This window comes from Homo sapiens, chromosome 12, assembly GCF_000001405.40.
Source record: "Homo sapiens chromosome 12, GRCh38.p14 Primary Assembly".
NCBI lineage: Eukaryota > Metazoa > Chordata > Mammalia > Primates > Hominidae > Homo > Homo sapiens.
In genome coordinates this window covers 44,812,025-44,832,462 of record NC_000012.12, presented here as the reverse complement: position 1 = coordinate 44,832,462, position 20,438 = coordinate 44,812,025, and the positions used below count along the sequence as shown (strand labels likewise).

Genomic DNA, 20,438 nt, shown 5'->3' with positions numbered 1-20,438 from the left:
ACCTGGAAAGCATATCACACAATGAGAGAAGAAAGGATGCACACCAAAATATGCATATCAACACCAGTGATGAAAACTAGTTAATAGGCATTTTCACTTCCTGTCTTTTCCACTTTCATGACATCTAGTACTTGCTTTAACTAAGCCTCTTATCACATTGTTTTGGTCTTCCATTCTAGACATAATCAACTAAAGACATAAAGAATTTCTTTTTATCTTTGGGAAATTATATCCATATCTGTTGATTCCAGGGGTTGGTTAAAACTGTGGCCCCAAAGGCCAATTTTGGGGCTCATTCTTATATGGCCCCTTGAGCTAAGACTGGTTTTTACATTTTTAAATGCTTGTAGAAAAGAAAAAAAGCAATATGGAATAGAGGTGTATGTGGCCTGAAAAGACTAAAATTTTTACTCTCTGTTTTTATACAGAAAAAAATTCTTATCCTCATTTTACAGAATGAGACCCACGGGGAACATTTGAACGAGTCATAGGAAGCTTGGGGAGATGGATTACTTAGGGAATAGGCTAAGTTCCTGTAACAAAGAGACCCAAAATGCAGTGCTCAAATAAGAAAGAAGATTATTTCTTTTTTATATAACAATCTAGAGGCAGGCAGGTGGTTCCGGGCTGATGCACAGTCCTGCCACCTGAAATTACTCACGGACACAGTTTTTGTCTGTCTTCTAACTCCACACTGCCATTTTCCTCATGGAGGACATTCCAGTCTGAAAGAAAAGAAGAGTGGGGACAATCAGTTCCTTTTTAATAATAAAATATGGATCATAACGCCTGTCACTTCTGCTCACATCCCAGTGGCGAGGATTTACATCACCTGTTCACTTTAGCTGAAAAGGATATAGGGGAATGAAGTTTCTATCTGGGAAACCATGTGTGCCCTGATAAAAGTAGAGAGTTTTATGACTTAGAAGAGGAAGAGAGTTATTGCTATTGGAGGACAGTTAGCAATCTGCCACAGAGAGGTAAACAGTTCATGGTACTGGATTATTCCTGATCTTCATTGCAGAATTCTCAACATGATCATTATGTAATATATACTGAATATTTACTATATACTCAGTATATATTTGTTGAACTCATTAAAGTGAGCAGAAAACTGGAAGCAATACTTAGTCTAGGAATGGTCACTTAGGGAGTAATCTGTTCGTGAAATGGGAAAGACACAAGCATGGTGGGGTCAGATGTGTGGCTCCTGGGAATGGTTAAATTAGCGCTAGAGATTATAGAGCTCCCAGTAAGGTAAAGTACAGAGATTAGTTTAGACAGTAAGTGAATCTTCTGTATTTTATACAGGGGTAATATTGGTATTTAAATAGTGAGTTTAATTTAAAGAAAACTCACAATGGTGGGAAAAACTTCAAGAGGGTGGTAAGATGGGGCTGGTGGTGGGTTGTGAGTATAAGCAGGAGTTGGGTGTGGTGTCCAATGTGGTAAATGGGGCAAGTCCAGTCCCCCCACAGATTAAAGTCATGCAGGCAGCATGTGATAGATCTAGAATTCTGACACTTTTAAAGCAAAATTCATGAATTCCTGAGGGACAACAGAGAGAGAGGGAGAGAATGAGATTTGGCAAGATCCTGACAGAATATCAAAGCCTCAACCAAGCAGATGGGTGTGCAGGGCAGAGTGTAGAGTTCCAGGCTGGGAAACTGAAGCAGAAGCTCAACTTTGTAGACTGGGCCAACATGATGGGGCTGGGAAATGATTTATTTTAGAGGCTGCACACATTCCCAGAGCTCTTTTTTTGTAAAATCTCTGAGCAGCAAGACTTGTGATTTTCTGGCATCATGATCATAACAGGCTCAGAAACCGGGAGATGGCAGATTTGGGGCCTGTGGAAACAAGGACAGGGACTGACATGAAGGCTGGTGTCTGAAACTCTGGTTTGAAAAGTTGATTACAATGTGCCCCATGCCCTGTGGTACTTTATAATGCTGTTTTCTTTCTTGCAGTGAAAATACTCATAGAAAAAAATGTAGCTCAATTTTGATAGGGTGATTAATCATGATAACTGATATTTTGGTGTCTTGTTATTCTGAAATAATTTGATTATTATAATTAAAGAAGGATAAAAACAGAACAAACTCCCCAAATTGATGTTTCAGGTCAAATTAGCCTATTAGGTAGAAGATGAAATTGTGCATTTCAGTACTTCAGCTCTGCATAATTGATGGGACACCATGTACTATCTCTTTGGCTATTCAGCAACAATTCTGTTAGAATCTGCTTGTGGAGTCTGAGGTTGCACTATTCATAACTTTCAGATTTTATAGATGTAAAAATATTTTATATGTCATTATTTTTTAATCCTTCTAATTAATATGTATGAATAAAATGTTAAGGATATATAATAGAAATCTTACCTTCATCTTGTTTTCTTCTTTTTATGCTAATCATTTTACTAGAGCCATGTCAAAACAGTAACACATACGTGGTTAGAATAATAACCAGTTTTTTGAAAGAACATTTTTTTCCTATTAGGGACTATATGAATATTTGATCAGATCTCAAAGAAAATAAAAGAAAGCCTTGTGATTCAGCTTTCATTTTAGAAACTTTAACTTATAAACATTTCTCTTTTGCACTTAATGGTTACTATCTTAATAGATGAACACTTTGCAAACGCTAAGTATATGTGTGTTTAAGAAATAACCAGGTACTATCTATGGGGTAATTTTAAAATGAGAAAAATTACCTAATTATTAAATATATAAACTTTAATGCTAAGGAGAATACTTTGTTAATTTAAGCACTACTTCATACAGTAATGACTGGTGTCAGTATACGAAGGTGCAGTTGAAACTTTTCATGTACTCTTAAAGATAAGACCAGTGAAAGCTCAAGGTTTTTTCTTTTCTTTAAAGAAATTCAAACATTTCATTTGTTCAAGTTTCAGTAGCTTTCATCAAGGCAGATACATATTCTATAAATTATGATGGTTCATGTTCATGAATTTAATGATTCTTGGGAATTTAAGACATGGGTTAATGATATTAGCTGAAAAATTGCAGGCATTCAGTTTGGGTTCAATTTGATATAACATTTTGGATTGGTTTAAATAAAAGTCTAGCAAATTACTGATTCTTAAATTTGCTACATGTGTTAAAAGGATTTTGTTGAGACTGCTATTTATAGGTATTGAGTCGGGATCAACAGTGGAAGGCAGTCAGGCTATTAAAGTTGTGAATGACATCATCATCATCATCTTCATCTTCATCAACATCACTTATCATCATTCTTCTTATTTGCTTAATGTTTCTGCCTTATTTGATCTTTTTTGAATATGTGATCTTATTCTTGAGCAGTACTGCAGTTAGAGGAAGAGATGATAAAGAGAAAGGCTATTTGGACTGGTTTACCTACTCAGTTTTGCTGGCATCAAAACAGCTGGTAACTTGGCTGATGAGGTTCTGAGGGACTGCTTCACACTAGCCAAAAGTATTAATCTGATTATAAACTCAAGTGCCAATTTTAATTTTAATCTAAAATGAGAATTATAGCAGTGAACTAAATCAGAATACTTATTGTGGTTGATCATTACTACTGTCTCTGGAGGAAAATACACTCTAGAAGCCAAATTATTATCAGAATTTTGCTTGCTAGCATGGAATGAAAACAAATGAAATAGAATAGTCTTCAGAACTTGTATTTGTTATAGATAAATCTTAATACTTTAATTTTAAGTTCCAAATCATAGAGACATTATATTATTTGTAGCCCCCACCCCCATATCCTGACTTTTATTAATGAAAATTCCAACATGCACTTCAAATGATTTGCTTAAGGTCAACCATTACAGTTGTTGGTTCTGGGAATAGAACCTGCTATTTCTTTTTGTTTGATTAGTTGATTAATGCTTATACTTCTGATTTCTGATTATATTAATGTATGTATACTTTTATGTGGTTGAATATTCACAACATTAAGCCAACACACATTTTGTTAATGATACATGAAGAAATGTATATGTTTATTATGCATTGAATCAAATTGTAATTAGCTGTAGATTCGAAAGAAATTTTTGAAGGTGTTTGGGGGTTTAATTGGAGTAAGAAGGTAGAAGGGGAATTTCCAAGTTGGTTTTCTAAGAGTATGTTTTTGTTCTCTCCTAAACCAGTAATGTAAAGGGCATATAAATGTGTTAAGGGAGAGGAAGTGGCATCATTAAATGTGGGTTTGGGTGCAGAATGAGAGAAAACATTTGCAAACTACCCATCTGACAGGGGAATAATAACCAGAATACGTAAGGAGCTCAAACAACTCTATAGGAAAAACAATCTAATAACTTGGTTTAAAAAAATGGACAAAAGATCTGAATAGACATTTCTCAGAAGAAGTCATACAAATGGCAAACAGCTATATGAAAAAGTGCTCAACATCATTGATCATCAGAGAACTGCAAATCAAAACTACAATGAGATACCATCTCACCCCAGTCAAAATGGCTTTTATCCAAAAGACAGGCAATAACAAATGCTAGAAAGAATGTAGAGAAAAGGGAACCCGCATATACTGTTAGTGGGAATGCAAATTAGTACATCCACTATGGAGAATGGTTTGGAGGTTCCTCAGAAAACTAAAATAGAGCTACTATAACATCTAGCAATCCCACTCCCAGGTATATACCCAAAAGAAAGGAAGTCAGTATATCAAAGAGATAGCTGCACTCCCATATTTATTGCAGCACTAGTCACAATAGCCAAGATTTGAAAGCAACCAAAATGTCCACCAACAGATAGATAATGAAAATATGGTACTTACACACGATGAGTACCATTCAGTCATAAGAATGAGATCCAGCTATTTGCAACATGGGTGGAACTGGAGGTGTTTATGTTAAGTGAAAGAAGTCAGGCACAGAAAGACAAACTTTGCATCTTCTCACTTATTTGTGGGAGCTAAAAATTAAAATAATTGAACTCATGGAGATAGAGAGTAGAAGGATGCTTACCAGAGGCTGGGAAGGATTGTTGGGTGGGGGCCAGTGATAAGGAATTGGGGATGCTTAATGGGTACAAAAAAAAAAAAAAAAACAGTTAGAAGAAGACCAGAAGACCTAGAATTTGCTAGCACAACAGAGTGACTATAGTAAAAAATAATTTAATTGTACATTTAAAAATAACTAAAAGAGTATAATGGGGTTGTTTATAACACAAAGGATAAGTGCTTGAGGTGATGGATACCCCATTTACCCTGATGTGATTACCTCAATATCATCGCATGCCTATATCAAAATATCTCATGTAACTCATAAATATATATACCTACCTTGGATCCACATAATTTTTTTAAAAAAAGTTACAAAATTGTGGGTTTGTGGGGAACTCATACGTTTCACTCAGTAATTTTTAAAGCAGAATTATTTTAAAATTGTCTTTTAAAAAAGCCTTCTGTTTTGCAATTTAGTGCAGTTTACTCTCTATAGTTTATGTTGCAGTATCTAGATGACAGGAGATTGTATGATATAAATAATTTTCTATATTTGAAACACCTAATGATTCTAAGATCAAGTGCAATTTATTTATTTATCTTCAGAATATACTTTTATAAAGGTTAATTTAAAATAAGGGTTTATCCGCCCCTGGAGTGTGCATCACTGTAGTGTTGGTAGGACACTGTTGTGTAAAATAGGAAGCACATTGGCCTGGGTTAGGATCCTGGCTCTGCCACTTGAATTTGGTGGGTTCATCCCTATATACTGCTGTAATTGCTTTTGTAAGTTCATAGAAACGACCTGTGATTTTGAGCCACTTTTGATGATGACCCAAGTGTCTTGGCTTCTCTGTGGTTCCATTTTTCTCATCAGCAATTTCTATTATTATAGAGCTAACAATCCTATTTATTCAAAATTGTCATGAGGCTTAAATGAGATTGTTCACCTTTAAAGACTTCGGAAACTTTGTATATAGTAGTGTTAATCAAATTTTAATGGCTTTTAAAATTGTTACCATTTTGTCTTATAAGTTTGCATTATAAAAGCATGAGCATATTGAAGGAAGAGTAAGAGCAATGGAGAGTAACTATCATAATAGTTTTAACTCAATATATTTCTAACCTGAATTTAGAAGACAATAACATTTGATAGTTAAGTACTGAAAAAAAATGATAATCTCATGAGTTTTGAAATATTTTAAGTCAACCATTCTATGTCTGAAATTAGACAGTTTTTATAATAGAATTTATACATTGTATTTTTATTAGTCTGGTTATATGGGGGTTTCTACACACTGCAGTGGGCAGAAACTCATTTAATTCATGATGGCAGTTGTAGTGATACTTTTTAATTTCAAAAGAAAACAATGATGCTTACCTATTTCTTTTGTTATTGGAAGATGGACAAATTCCTTCTCTTTTACTACTAACACACAAATTTTCTTTTCTTTTTCTTTCTTTTATTTTTTTTTGACGGAGTTTCACTCTTGTTGCCCAGACTGGAGTGCAATGGCGCGATCTCGGCTCACTGCAACCTCCGCCTCCCAGGTTCAAGCAATTCTCCTGCTTCAGCCTCCAGAGTAGCTGGGATTACAGGCAGGCACCACCACGCTGGGCTAATTTTGTATTTTTGGTAAAGACGGGGTTTCTCCATGTTGAGGCTGGTCTCGAAATCCTGACCTCAGGTGATCCACTCGCCTCGGCCTCCCAAAGTGCTGGGATTACAGGCATGAGTCACCGGGCCCGGCCTAACACACAGAAAATATTTAAAGGGTTTACTTACACTAACAATGAACTATCTCAAAAAGAAATGAATAGGCTGGGTGCGGTGGCTCATGCCTGTAATCCCAGCACTTTGGGAGGCCGAGGCAGTCGGATCACCTGAGGTCAAGAGATCGAGACCATCTTTGCTAACATGGTGAAAACTCGTCTCTACTAAAAATACAAAAATTAGCTGGGCATGGTGGCACGCACCTGTAGCTCCAGCTATTGGGGAGGCTGAGGCAGGAGAATCTCTTGAACCTGGGAAGCAGAGGTTGCAGTGAGATGAGATTGCACCACTGCACTCCAGCCTGGTGACAGAGCAAGACTCTGTCTCAAAAAAAAAAAAAAAAAAAAAAAGGAAATGAATAAAACAATATGATTTATAATAGCTATAAAAATACGTAGGTGTAAATTAAATCAAGGAGGTGAAAGACCTCTACAATGAAAACTATGAAACACTGATGAAAGAAATTGAAGAAGACACAAATAAATGGAAAGATATCCTGTGTTCATGGATTGGAAGAATTAATGTTATTAAATATCCATACTACCCATAGTTATGTACAGATTCAATGCAATTCCTATTAAAATTTCAATGACATATTCCCACAGAAATAGAAGAAACAATCCTAAAATTTGTATCAAATTACAAAAGACCCCAAATAGCCAAAGCAGTCTTGAGCAAAAAATAACAAAGCCGGAGGCATCACACTACCTGACTTTAGTATATTACACTACAGGCCGGGCACGGTGGCTCACGCCTGTAATCCCAGCATTTTGGGAGGCCGAGATGGGTGGATCACGAGGTCAGGAGATTGAGACCATCCTGGCTAACATGGTGAAACCCCGCCTCTACTAAAAGTATAAAAAATCAGCCAGGCGTTGTGGCGGGTGCCTGTAGTCCCAGCTACTTGGGAGGCTGAGGCAGGAGAATGGCGTGAACCCGGGAGGCGGAGCTTGCGATTAGCCGAGATCATGCCGTTGCACTCCTGCCTGGGCGACAGAGTGAGACTCTGTCTCAAAAAAAAAAAAAAAGTAAATAAAATAAAAATAAATAAATAAATAAATAAATAAATAAATAAATAAATAACACTACAAAACTGTAGAAAACAGCATGGTACTGGCATAAAAACAGACATGTAGACCAATGAAACAGAATAGTTATAGCCCAGAAATAAATCTATACATTTCTAGTCGATTGATTTTCAACAAAAGTGCCAACAGCATACGAGGGGGAAAGGACAGTCTCTTCAATAAATAGTGTTGGGAAAACTGGATATCCACATGCATAAGAATGAAATTAGACCCTTATCTCACACCATATACAGACATCAACTCCAAATGGATTAAAGACTTAACTGTAAGACTACTAGAAGAAAACAGGGGAAAACTTCTTGACATTGGTCTAGGCCATACATTTTTGGTATATGACCCCAAAAACACAGGCAACAAAGGCAAAGAGGCAAATGAGATTGCACCAAACTAAAAAGTTTCTGCACTAAAATGGAAACAATCAATAGAGTGGAGAAACAATGTACAGAATGGAAGAAACATTTGTAAACAGTACATCTGCCAAGGGGTCCATTGTCCAATGTCCACCTAGCACATTGTCTAATATATCCAAAATATATAAGAAATTCGTGCAACTCAATAGCAAGAAAACAAATAACCTGATTAAAAAATGGGCAAAGAACCTAAATAACATTTCTCAAAAGAAGTCATACAGATAGTCAAAATGTATGTGAAAAAATGCTCAACATCACTAATCATCAGGGAAATGCAAATTTAAAAAATTGAGATATCACCTCACACCTGTTAAAATGACTATTATCAAAAAGACCTATGATAACAAGTATTGGCAAGGACGAGGAGAAAAGGGAACCCTTGTGCACTGTTGGTTTGAACGTAAATTGGTACAGCCATTATGAAAAATAGTATAAAGTTTCTCATCAAATAAAAAATAGAACTACTATGTGATCCAGGAATTTCACTTCTGGGTATATATCTAAAGGAAATGAGATCAGTATCTTGAAGAATATTTGTACTCCCATGTTCATAGCAGCATTATTGACACTACCCAAGCTATGGAAATAATTTAAATGTCCACCAGTGGATGAATGAATAAAGAAATATTGGTATATACACACAAAGGAATATCATTCAGCCTTACAAAAAGAAATAAATCATATCTTTTGCAGCAACATGGATAAACTGGAGGACAAACTGCTCAGTGAAATAAGGCAGGCACAGACAGATGAATACCGCATGATCTCATTGTACGTGGAATTTAAAAACATTGAATTCATAGAAGCAGAGAGTAAAATGGTGATTGCTGAGGGCTAGGAGATGGGGAAAATGGGAGATATTAGTGAAAGAGTACAAAGTTTCATTTATGCAGATGATAAGTTCTGGAAATCTAATGTACAGTGTGTGGTGACTATAGTTATTAACACTGTATTGTATACTTGAAATTCAAATGTTCTCACCATACATTAAAAAAATGCCAACTATGTGAGGTGATGGATATGTTAGAAAGCTTGATGGTAGTAATCATTTCACCATAGATATAGATGTCAAAACATCACATTGTACACATTAAATATATACAATTTTAATTTGTCAATTATATCCCATTAAGAAGAGAAATTTGGCCACCAAAAAAAGAAGAAAGGAATTCCAACTTGACTCTGTTTTTCAGTAAACACCCATGTTTGCTACCATATACATAATTGTATTAAGTACAGTCTATTTTAGAAATAAGTAAGTCAGATTCTTTCTCTCTCTCTCTCTCTGTCTCCTCCTCCCCCTGCCTTTCTTTGTTAACTATGTATGTATATAGGGAATACCTAGCACATTGTCTAAATCCCTAGAAATTTTTACTGTAGCCACATATGAACTCATCACTCCATTCTGGTAGTCCCATGACTAAAAATGAATATTTTGATGTAATTGCTTCTGAGCTACTTCATTATTTATTAATAATTGCTTTAAACTGCTGTGGGTTGTTTTCTTAGTGGGATTTTTAGGCTGTATGCACAATAAAAGTGGAAAACATTGAAATACATTTTACATTTAAACTCAAGCAGTTCTCCAATTAAAAAGCTCCCATGCAGCATAGGCATGTCGATAAGTTTCTCTATAGAGCTTACTAGTAGCATTTCAAGGCCTGTTTCTCAGCCTCTTTCTCTGAGCACCAAATCAAATGATCTTTGTCCCTGCTTCAGAAAGAATCTCACTTTACATTGATTTTTGTCCATAAAAGAATGATCTTTCGTAGTTTTCTAGGGTAGGCAGGATTGTATGTTAAGAAGAATTTGATGGCCAAAACTTGTATATCAATTTTCAAACTTGGAAACTGATATTTTGTGGCTGAGTTTGGGATACTTAGAATGAAAGTAAGCTCAGAAAATCACAAGGGTGTTATGGCCATTGTTGGTTTTCATGGATTCCACAGCCTCATTGCTTGTAAGAGTAATAATAATAACATTATAATCCTCATAATAAACCCATGGTCTTTACTACATGCTATGAACAGCTAATAATCTGCATGGTTGGAATTGGAACCTCATGCTTCTGGCTTCAAAGTTTGTTCCTGTAACCACTGCACTTTATTTTTCTATATTGGATTCCTAGCAGGATTCCTTGTTGAAAGATTGCTTAATGCATATCTAAATTAAAATTTTTGCCAGATGCGGTGGCTCATGCCTGTAATCCCAGAAATTTGGGAGGCCGAGGCGGGCAGATCACTTGCAGCCAGAAGTTCAAGACCAGCCTGGCCAACATGGTGAAACCACTGTCTCTACTAAAAAAATACCAAAATAAATAAATAAATAAATAAATAAATAAATAAATAAATAAATAAAACCAGCCGGGCGTGGTGGTGCACACTTGTAGTTCCAGCTACTTGGGAGATTGAGGCACGAGAATCAGTTGAACCTGGGAGGCGAAGGTTGCAGTGAGCCGAGATTGCATCACTGCACTCCAGCCTGGGCAACAGAGCAAGACTCTGTCTAAAAAAAAAAAATTAATTCTGAAAACTTTAATGATAATAGAAATAAAGTAAAATTAATTATTGGGTGGTAGTTTCTTTGACTTGATTTAATGGTCAATGTCAGAATTAGGTCTTATCATAATAATCATTGGAACTCAGAGTCTCTGAACATTATGTAATCCTTGAGATGAAAATATAAGGCAGGAATGCCAATTTTACAAATTTGGAAACAGAAATGCAAATGAGTAAAATGACCTTTCTTAAAATCACTACTCACCTACTTACTTAAAGAACTAAAAATGTTATCTTATATAATTACTTGTTTCTGAATTATTTTCTGTGTTGGTTGCTCTCTTATTTGCATTTGTTTGTGACTGGCAATTAGGCATGGATAAAGGATGCCATGTTCAGGAGCAGTACAATTTAGTGGAAAGAATACTGGCCCAGAAATTGTCATCCCCATTATACCTCTATCTGCTGGTGTTTTGGGGTGAACATGGAAATGTTCCATGGCTGTTTTTGCTTATTTTAAAAAAGGAAGTAGTAATTGTTGCTGCTATCAAGTCTCCAGGGCTTTGTGAGAACAAAATGGAACATGAGTTCAAAAGGGAAAAATATATTATTATAAAATTTTGCAGGATAAAATTTGTATAGTATCATATGTGCAGCATTATAGAATATATATACGTGTGTGTGTGTGTGTGTGTGTGTATTTATAAAGCTTATATATGCTGCCCCTGCTGTGCTACTGACTTAGTGTTTCTGTGGTCCATCCCTCCATCCTCCTCTCATTCCTGTGACTCCTGTGATTTACTCAGGCACGCCTATGACTTTAGGTAACACAGTCTGGTGACTTCTAAACCTATATTGTCAACTTTAACCTCTCTCATATCAAATTCTGGAGTGCTAGCATTCTACTGGACATGTCCACATGTATGTTATATGGCATTTTAAAATCACTATTTCTAAAACTGAAATCCCATTTGGGTACCATCAGGCTTCCACTGCATTTCCTTTCATTAAGTCTCTGCAGCTGGAAACATTGGAGTCAACTGGATTCCTTTTGCCTCCTTTCTTTTACCTTTTGCTTGTGATTTATTAGTGACCAAGTTCTTTAGGTTCTACTTTCTTTTTCTTTTTTTTTTTTTTGAGACGGAGTCTTGCTCTGTCACCCAGGCTGGAGTGCAGTGGCGCGATCTCGGCTCACTGCAAGCTCCGCCTCCTGGGTTCACGCCATTCTCCTGCCTCAGCCTCCCGAGTAGCTGGGGCTACAGGCGCCCATCACCACGCCTGGCTAATTTTTTTGTACTTTTAGTAGAGACGGGGTTTCACCATGTTAGCCAGGATGGTCTCAATCTCCTGACCTCGTGATCTGTCCGCTTCGGACTCCCAAAGTGCTGGGATTACAGGCGTGAGCCACTGCGCCCGGCCTAGATTCTACTTTTTACGTATATCCTGAATCCTACCCCTCCTGTTTATTCTGATGCCACTTACATAGTTTAGGCCCTCATCAAGTCCTTCCTGGACTTGGACATAATGAATTCTTGAAAACATGTTTTTAAGGGGGAACAATACGTTTAAATATTTTAGGGTGAGGTAAGGGTTGGAAGCAAACGGTGTTCTGTGGACAGAGAACCGAAAACTGTGATACAATCATGACTTAAACTTCCTCTATGTACTCTCTGTGTCACATTCAGGAAACTTAAAAATCTTCATCTGTGTCCTGGGCTTCTGGGCTGGGGCACCAGGTGAGGAGACCATCCTGAGGCTATGGTAAATCAAGCTGGGTTTTCTCTCTCCCATGGGCATTCCACACTGTCTCTTTCTCCGTTATAGGTGGGAGGCTCATGCAAGCCCATTTTTAAACATTTGTGCAATGAACTTAGTCAGGATGAAAGAAAAAAAGAATATTATTGTTCTTATCCCTGTAGCATAAGCAGAATGGGGCTTCCGCTGGCTTTGTTCATGCTGGAGGGTCCCTCCTTCCTGCAAGCCATCCCATCCCCATAGAGGTAGCAAAACAGGAAGACAATGGGCTGGGAGGAGAGGTTGAATAGGGTAAGTGGTCCTGTCCTGAATTGTGACCCTGCATGAGTGAATGAGCTTCAAGTTTAAGCTGGATGGAGTCCTCATAGCACCCCATCTACCACCCTGGTGGGGTGGAGGATGGTTCTGCTGTGTGGGTCTCCTTAAGCACTTCGTTAAGCACCCCAATACAAATTATCCGTCTACTCAGAGTTCCCTTGGACCTTCCCTCATCAACATGCCTGACAAGTAGTGCAAACACTAATAGCGCAGTATCACTATTACTAGTCTAGTCAAAGCCAAAGAAAGTCAATTTGATTTGGGAAAGGTAGTTTAGGGATGTCAAAATATGATGGATGTTTAAAATATGTGAAATCTAACCTGTATAAGTTAATAATTACCAAATTGCCAGACTTCTCAAGCGGTCTGTTTCCAGTTTTTTTCTTTCTTGAAGCAACCATTCCACATGGCCACTAGAGAAATTTTTTTCAAAACGCTGATTGATCAATTTTTTTGATAGTTTCCCTTCACCTACAGTTTCCTTCACCATGTTTTCAACCATAGTGATGTACATTTTTACTAATATTCAAATCTGATCTGTTCTTTTAGTTTCTTCATTCTTTTACCTTAAGGCCAATCTTTACTTGTCATTTCATCTGAAAACAGAACAAAATTAAAAAATAAGTGAACTGGCCGGGCGCGGTGGCTCACGCCTGTAATCCCAGCACTTTGGGAGGCCGAGGCGGGTGGATCATGAGGTCAGGAGATCGAGACCATCCTGGCTAACAAGGTGAAACCCCGTCTCTACTAAAAATACAAAAAATTAGCTGGGCGCGGTGGCGGGCGCCTGTAGTCCCAGCTACTCGGGAGGCTGAGGCAGGAGAATGGCGTGAACCCGGGAAGCGGAGCTTGCAGTGAGCCGAGATTGCGCCACTGCAGTCCGCAGTCCGGCCTGGGCGACAGAGCGAGACTCCGTCTCAAAAAAAAAAAAAATAAAAAAAAAAAAATAAGTGAACAAAATATAGCCTCTCAGCTCTGTTCACAAATCTAACTCCAAAAGCAATAGTGAATAATATAGACATTTAATAAAGTTCTTCTGTGTATACCAAACAACAAAACAGCCTAAGAATCTTCTTTGAGCATCTTATCTCTAAAGTTTCATCTTGTAAGGCAGCTGCCACACATTTCCAAATTCCTTTTCTCTTGCTGTAAGAGCTCTATCTCTTTGGGCCACATCCTTGAACCTCTCTGCGGATCTGAGCATCATTTGTGTATTCACTGTAATCCTTTCTCCATTTCTCTCATTTGCACCCCCATCTATCATCCTGCTCTGCAAGACAAAGGATGCTGCTGAAGTTCTACCTGCCTGAAAAGAGGAGAAGCATAATATTTATAATTTAATTTCAGTTTGCTTTTATCTATTAAATTAAAATGAAGTAATGTAGTTTGTGAATGATTCACTTCTGTATAAATTAGAATGAATTAAAAGTTAACACTAGATGAAATCATTCTCAATTAGATTTTGCATGCTTCCTTGAGGAAACAAAAAATTTTGGAGCTAAGAGGAATGTTGTGGAATCTCCTCCACAGCCTGTCTTATCTGTAATAGAGCCTGGAGAGAAACTATTGCATTGATTGTGGCAAAAGTTTCAGATTACTCTTATGCTTTTGAGTTATGAATGTTGAATGGGAATGTTGAAGTTTCTTTTCGGCAACAGGAGAGTTTCTTTTTTGTAAAACTTTGAACAACTGTCCCAAGTCTGACTTCGTTAACTTGGGTTAGGTGCCTGTTCCTGATCTGATTACTGTGCACAGGGATAGGTGATGCCCGGATTGGTCAGGTCTGTGTCACATGACCAATTGTAGCAGAGAGGAAGTCAAGGGTTGAGAGTGGGGAGGGATCATTTCTCAGTGGCAAATAGGGAGTTTTTTGTTTGTTTGTTTGTTTTATTTTGTTTTAAACCAAGAGAGTAAATTGATAATGGTGATGGAAACAGCAGGTGTCTCATTAAGTTGGCCTGCAGGGTCCTGCCTCATCCAGTTCCCCAGCCCCATCCAGCAATGTCTGCTGTTCACTCACTGCACTATGTGATGCCCTTTCGTATCTCTGCTTTTTCACAAGCTTTTCCTATGTCTGGTATGCTTTTCCCTCTTTTCTCTACCTGGTAAACTCCTGATCAAATTGCATCTACTTATTGAGCCTTCCCTTCAGATTCTGTTGGCTACTTTCCCCCCTGACCCATTAACACTTTGTACCTACCTCTCTGAGAGCATTTCTTTCATTGTATCACATTAGGTGTCCCTTCTTCTATTATACGAGTGTCTCAAGGTCTGTGTGCTCTCCATGTCTGTGTATTCTCAGTAATGGACTCAGACCAGGTGATTACATTAGCATTATGTAAAATCGTGGGCCTAGAAAGGTGGAGAATTTGGATTAATTTTATAATTTCTGTTTCATCAAGGTTGTGATTCCCAACTAAGTTTCTGCTGCATTGCTTCCCTGGGAATGTTTGGAAGTGTGTGGGAGTACTTTGGGTTGTTGCAAAGCCTGTGCATTGGGTGCCACTGACATTTGTTGGCCAGGGACCCAGGAGTGCTAAATGTTTTACAGTGCATGAGACAATCCTGCACAAAGAAGGATTGTCCTCTCTAAATGCCAGTTCTTCCATTGAAAACTACTTATCTAGACAAGCATAGGAAAGAGGAGAGTAATTTGATCACAATACAAACTACATGTCTATCTCTCGTCAATCTTCTTTGCGTACACTGTGAATAGGAGAGCCTATGCTCAGTTAGCACATTGCTTGAATGATAGGTTTTTAAACCTAAGTGCATTTCTATCCTTATCTGTTTCCCCATATAATCTGGGTCCTGAGGTTGGAGTACAAGGCTAAAACATGCGGAAGTTCAGGATAAAAGTTTGCCTCTCTTAAGTAAACTTCCCTTGGCTAGGCTTTCTCTAAGACTGGGGAGGAAATGGGAATTAAGTTCTACGTATTCTTTTTTTCAATATCTATGGTGAGATAATTTGATCTTAATGCCTCTTCCACTGCACAGAAGGCTGAGAGTGACTAATTTAAATGATCTTTTAAAAATCTATTTATAGCAAACCTTCTGGCTGAAGAAACCAATGTGGAGGGTGGCACATAGATTTAAATCCAGTTTTCTGTCATGAGGTGTCAGAAAAGCTAAATAGTTCTAGTGTGGTTGTTTAGGTCCTATTCTAGGAAGCACATCTTTTTGTTCATTGTTGACACTGATGTTGCTGTGTTATCTAGAATATAGGAATTGTGTAGAGAAAACTTGGGAGTATACGTCCCCAAGTAAGGTTTTTTGATTTTTTGCTTCAAAGGTGACATTTTTGAAAAAAGATTCCTGAAACCTAAGTTCAGTAATTCATGTGTGATTTTATTGTCCTGTGTTATTATATATAGCATAAAGTCTTTTTGAAAAATAATTTACCAAGAGTCTGAAACTCAGTATTTATCAGCTGCTACTGATAAACTTGATAAAGTTTTTTGAAAGATGTTACATGTAAAAGATACTTCATAAAATCAAATTCTACTATTCTTAGTATATGTTTGTTTCTTTTTTAGATACTCCCAGAAGCATAAAAGCATCCACTGCTACAGCTGAACAGTTTTTTCAGAAGCTGAGAAATAAACATGAATTTACTATTTTGGTGACCCTAAAACAGACCCACTTAAATTCAGGAGTTATTCTCTCAATTCACCACTTGGATCACAGGTAAATGTGGTTGCTGGAGTTTCCTGTGTTTTCATTATATGTGGTTAAATGAATATATTAAAGAGAAGTAAACAAAAGCTTTCTTCTCTTGTATATCTCTTTATGATTTGGGAAGCCGAGGTGGGCAAATCACGAGGTCAGGAGTTCAAGACCAGCCTGACCAATATGGTGAAACCCTGTCTCTTCTAAAAATACAAAAATTAGCTGGGCTTGGTGGCGCGCGCCTGTAGTCCCAGCTACTCGAGTGGCTGAGGCAAGAAAATTGATTGAACCCAGGAGTTGGAGGTTGCAGTGAGCCAAGATCATGCCATTACACTCCAGCCTGGGTAACAGAGCGAGACTCCGTCTCAACAACAACACAAAGATTGGTTTAAGATAGAATGGTTTTGTTACATTATACAAAAATCACAAACACAGGTAATTGAAAGTAATTGCCTAAAAGCAGAAGGAGCTGCTGCTTTTCAGGTTAGTAAGAAGTTGCTATTCCTAAAACAGATTTATTCATTACTGAATTCCTCAAGAGGTATATTTCTCAATTTTAAAGCCAAACATACTTCTTAATTTGTGAATAGTTATCCACAAAAATATTATATTCTAATGCTTTGTAAAATTGTCTGGGTTTAGAGTTTAATAGTCGTATAATTGTAATCATTGACAGACAACTTCCTTTTTTACCTCATAGTTGGCAGCAGTGACAGCTGTCTTCTTGGACATGGATTGTATAAAAATGGTGTCTACTATCTTCCAGCCTTTGTCATATGTGAGACAGGATTAGGAGCTCTGGATGGGGGGAAAGGAGGAAGAAGAAGAAAGTCATTCATGATACTTGACATATACATAAATTGCTATGAAGTAATACCAAATAGTTTAAGATTATTCCTTCTGGAAAGAATAACCACAGTTCTGGGAAGGTCCACCACTTACTATCTGTGGACATTGGGGAAGTCACCTAAGATCTGTATCTCAATTTCCTCATCTGTAAATTGAGGATAATAGTACTGCTTCATAAGTTGTTGTGAGGATTAAAGAATTTATACATATAAAATGCTTTACCTATATAAAAACTTTAATGATCCTGTCCAAGCATGGGTATAAATCTCTTTATTTGGTTTCTCTTATCGCAGATGAGGCAGTCTGGGACTTTGCACATCTTTACTAAATACTAAAGAGCAAACGTAAGAAAATCTATGTGGAGAACAAAATATAGCAAGGCTGACTTAGTGAGGAAGGTTCCTAGGGACATACTATCTCGCTTGCTCTTGGGGCTTGAGGCCCCATTTAATTACATCTTTAGCTCCAAAGGATAATTTCCCAGGCCCTTCACTTGGGTTTCTTTCCTCCCAGATTCTGGCCTGTTTTTGAGGGGAGGGTGCCATCCTAACACTCACCTGGTAACTGGGAAGAGCAAGAAAGGGAGCAATCCCATCTTCAAGGGTTCACTGGGCTATTCCCTTCAGTCTGTTTTTGGTTGCAGGGAGAGGCCTTGTCTTCATGTGGTTGAGATCCAGTGAGCTCCTTGTTTATAGCAGTGTGTCTCTGCCCATGTCCATTGAGCTTTCAGGCAACAAGAGTCACATGTAATAAAGCAAGATTGTTCATTTGCAGAACAACCTGTTGTATTTCTGATTACCTCTACATGCTAGGAAAATTTCGCCTTAATTTTGCACATTAGATTTTGCTTCCCTGTGACTTTCTCCCACTTCCCTGTTTGTAGAGACATAGAACTCACCCAGCCTTCTTCCAGATGACATCCCTTACATAGATGATGGCCACTGCTACCTCCTTTCTTACTGCTCCTGTCTCTGTGCTAACTGGTGCTAGGGCCCTCCATCTGCTCCTCCTGAGGCTTGTCAGGCAGCATTTCAATGGGTCTGTTTCCCTCAACTGTGAGTCCTAGATGGTCAGTGTTTGTATTGGTTCCCAGGGTCGAACACCTTAACTGTACACACTCTGACCAGCACAGACTTCTTGCAATCTGCAAACTTTTTCCACCTAATACTTCTTAAAATAGTTTAATGTTTTTTTAAGCAACTGAAACATTTTAAAGATATGGGCAACTGAAATACCTGACCTTCATCAGGTGGTTTGCTGTCAGGCAAATCCTTTCTTACTCTTCCTGTGAGGTAGATTTATTAAAGTTATAGGCAGGGCTTTAAATGTATTTATTTCAATTGAAAATAATATTTATTGTTTTAGATTATAGAAGTATGTTTTCGTTGTAGAAAAAATTTGGAAAACTGACAGAAAGAAATAGGAAAATTGATACAATCATGTTACTAAAAGACTAATGTTGAAGTTCTGTCGTATTTTAATCCAGTCCTTTTGTCTATGTGTATTGATACGCCATATTTTGTTTAATCAACCCCTTACTTTTGGGTATTCAACTCATTTACTTTGTAAATTTTAATAAATAATAATATGATGAATATTTCTTATACATAAGTATTTGTGCTCAGCTGTTAGGTTTTCTAGTTATACCTTTAAAATTTATATTATTTCTGAAATTTCTTGTTTTACTTATTCAGTCTATGGTTGTATCTCTGTCAATGTCTATGAATTTATCTAGGAAATTATAAATTATGTAGATATTATCTAGATAGGTTATTATTGAACAAATATCATATTTGAGATATAGTATATCATTCTATGATGTGGAAAATAATTTAGATTTGTAAGGCACTTTCATTTGCTGAGTAAGCTAACAGTTATTAAAGGCTTACCATGTGCCAGGCACTGTGCTCCATGCATTACATGTGATTAGTTCATTTATCATCAGTATTCAAGAGTGATTAAGAGTGTAGACCTGGAGATGGACAGCATATATTCCAGTCATAGCTCTGCCACTCATTGCTTTTGGGGCCTTGTACAAATTACTTAATTGTTCTGTACTTCAATTGTCCCCCTCTGTAAATCCATATAGAGTGCTTGAAAATACTAGCTATAAAAATTCACAAACCTCTCATAATCATACAAGATCAGCACTCTTATTTTCATTTCAAAGATAAGAAAAACAAGCCTTAGAGATAAGTTCTTAAAGGTTCCATGGGAATAAATGGGAGTAGGCTTTTCCATCAGTGTGATTATAGAGCCCACCTGCTGAACCTCTGTGCTATCTGGTCTCTCCGTGTCTATGGGAGATCATTAAACTAGGTTCTTTATTGCCTTTTTTTCAGCATCATTTAGCTAGTTACTGACAGAGCCAGAACCCAAACCCACTTTTTATTATTGAGTCTTTTTACTAATGCCCTGTGATATTGCCTTCTATCATCTCAACAGACCTTCTGTTATGGCTTGTATTGGATTTTTTCCTGTTCTTCTTGCTGAAGCTATCTTTCTTTAGTTATCTTGCTTTTCCTCACTCATCTATTTAGTTTCATCATTGCCTAAACACTTATTTCATTATTTTCTGCTTTCTTTCACAAAAATTTTAAGGTGGCTTATAGAAATATCTACAGGACAAGATAAAATGAAACATATACAAATCAGAGCAAACAAAAGGATAAAAACCTTGTTAAATAATTAGGATAATTCAACCATTCTTGGCACTGAAACCATACACATATTTCTCATATGGCCTTTTGTGGTCAAGGTAGTAAGTGTCCTTAGAGAACAAGTTCAGGGGACTTTATGGTAGCTGGTCACTTCAGAAAAAGCAGATCCACAGTGATGTTGATAACATACATCTAGGTATGAAGGTCTTTGAAGCAACACTGCCCCCTTTGGAGACACTTTCTTGGTAATATGCAAGACAGTCATATACAACCAAGTTTTCCTGCTCAATGTGCCAGTGGAGCCTTCTATATGAAGGCCTGGTAAGTAGACTGTGTCCTTCACACCACATTGCATGTAAATTGCTTTTCTCAATGTAACTCAGTCACTTCCAACTGACAGTGATTAGGTGTAGGTCCAGCGCTTCAATGGGTGCATTCTAGTTCACCATAGTAAGAACTCTTCTGCATGC

At 37.3% G+C, this 20,438-nt stretch overlaps 1 protein-coding gene across 6 annotated transcripts in view; it reads left to right on the top strand.

Moving 5' to 3' along the window:
• NELL2 (neural EGFL like 2) overlaps window positions 1–20,438 on the top strand; it is a 413,574-nt gene that overhangs the window by 89,386 nt on the left and 303,750 nt on the right. For all 6 annotated transcript variants that reach the window (XM_011538396.2, NM_006159.2, NM_001145110.2 and 3 more), the window contains one exon: window positions 16,327–16,477. In XM_011538396.2, the coding sequence (XP_011536698.1) occupies window positions 16,327–16,477 (151 nt within the window). The remainder of the gene's footprint in view (window positions 1–16,326; window positions 16,478–20,438) is intronic.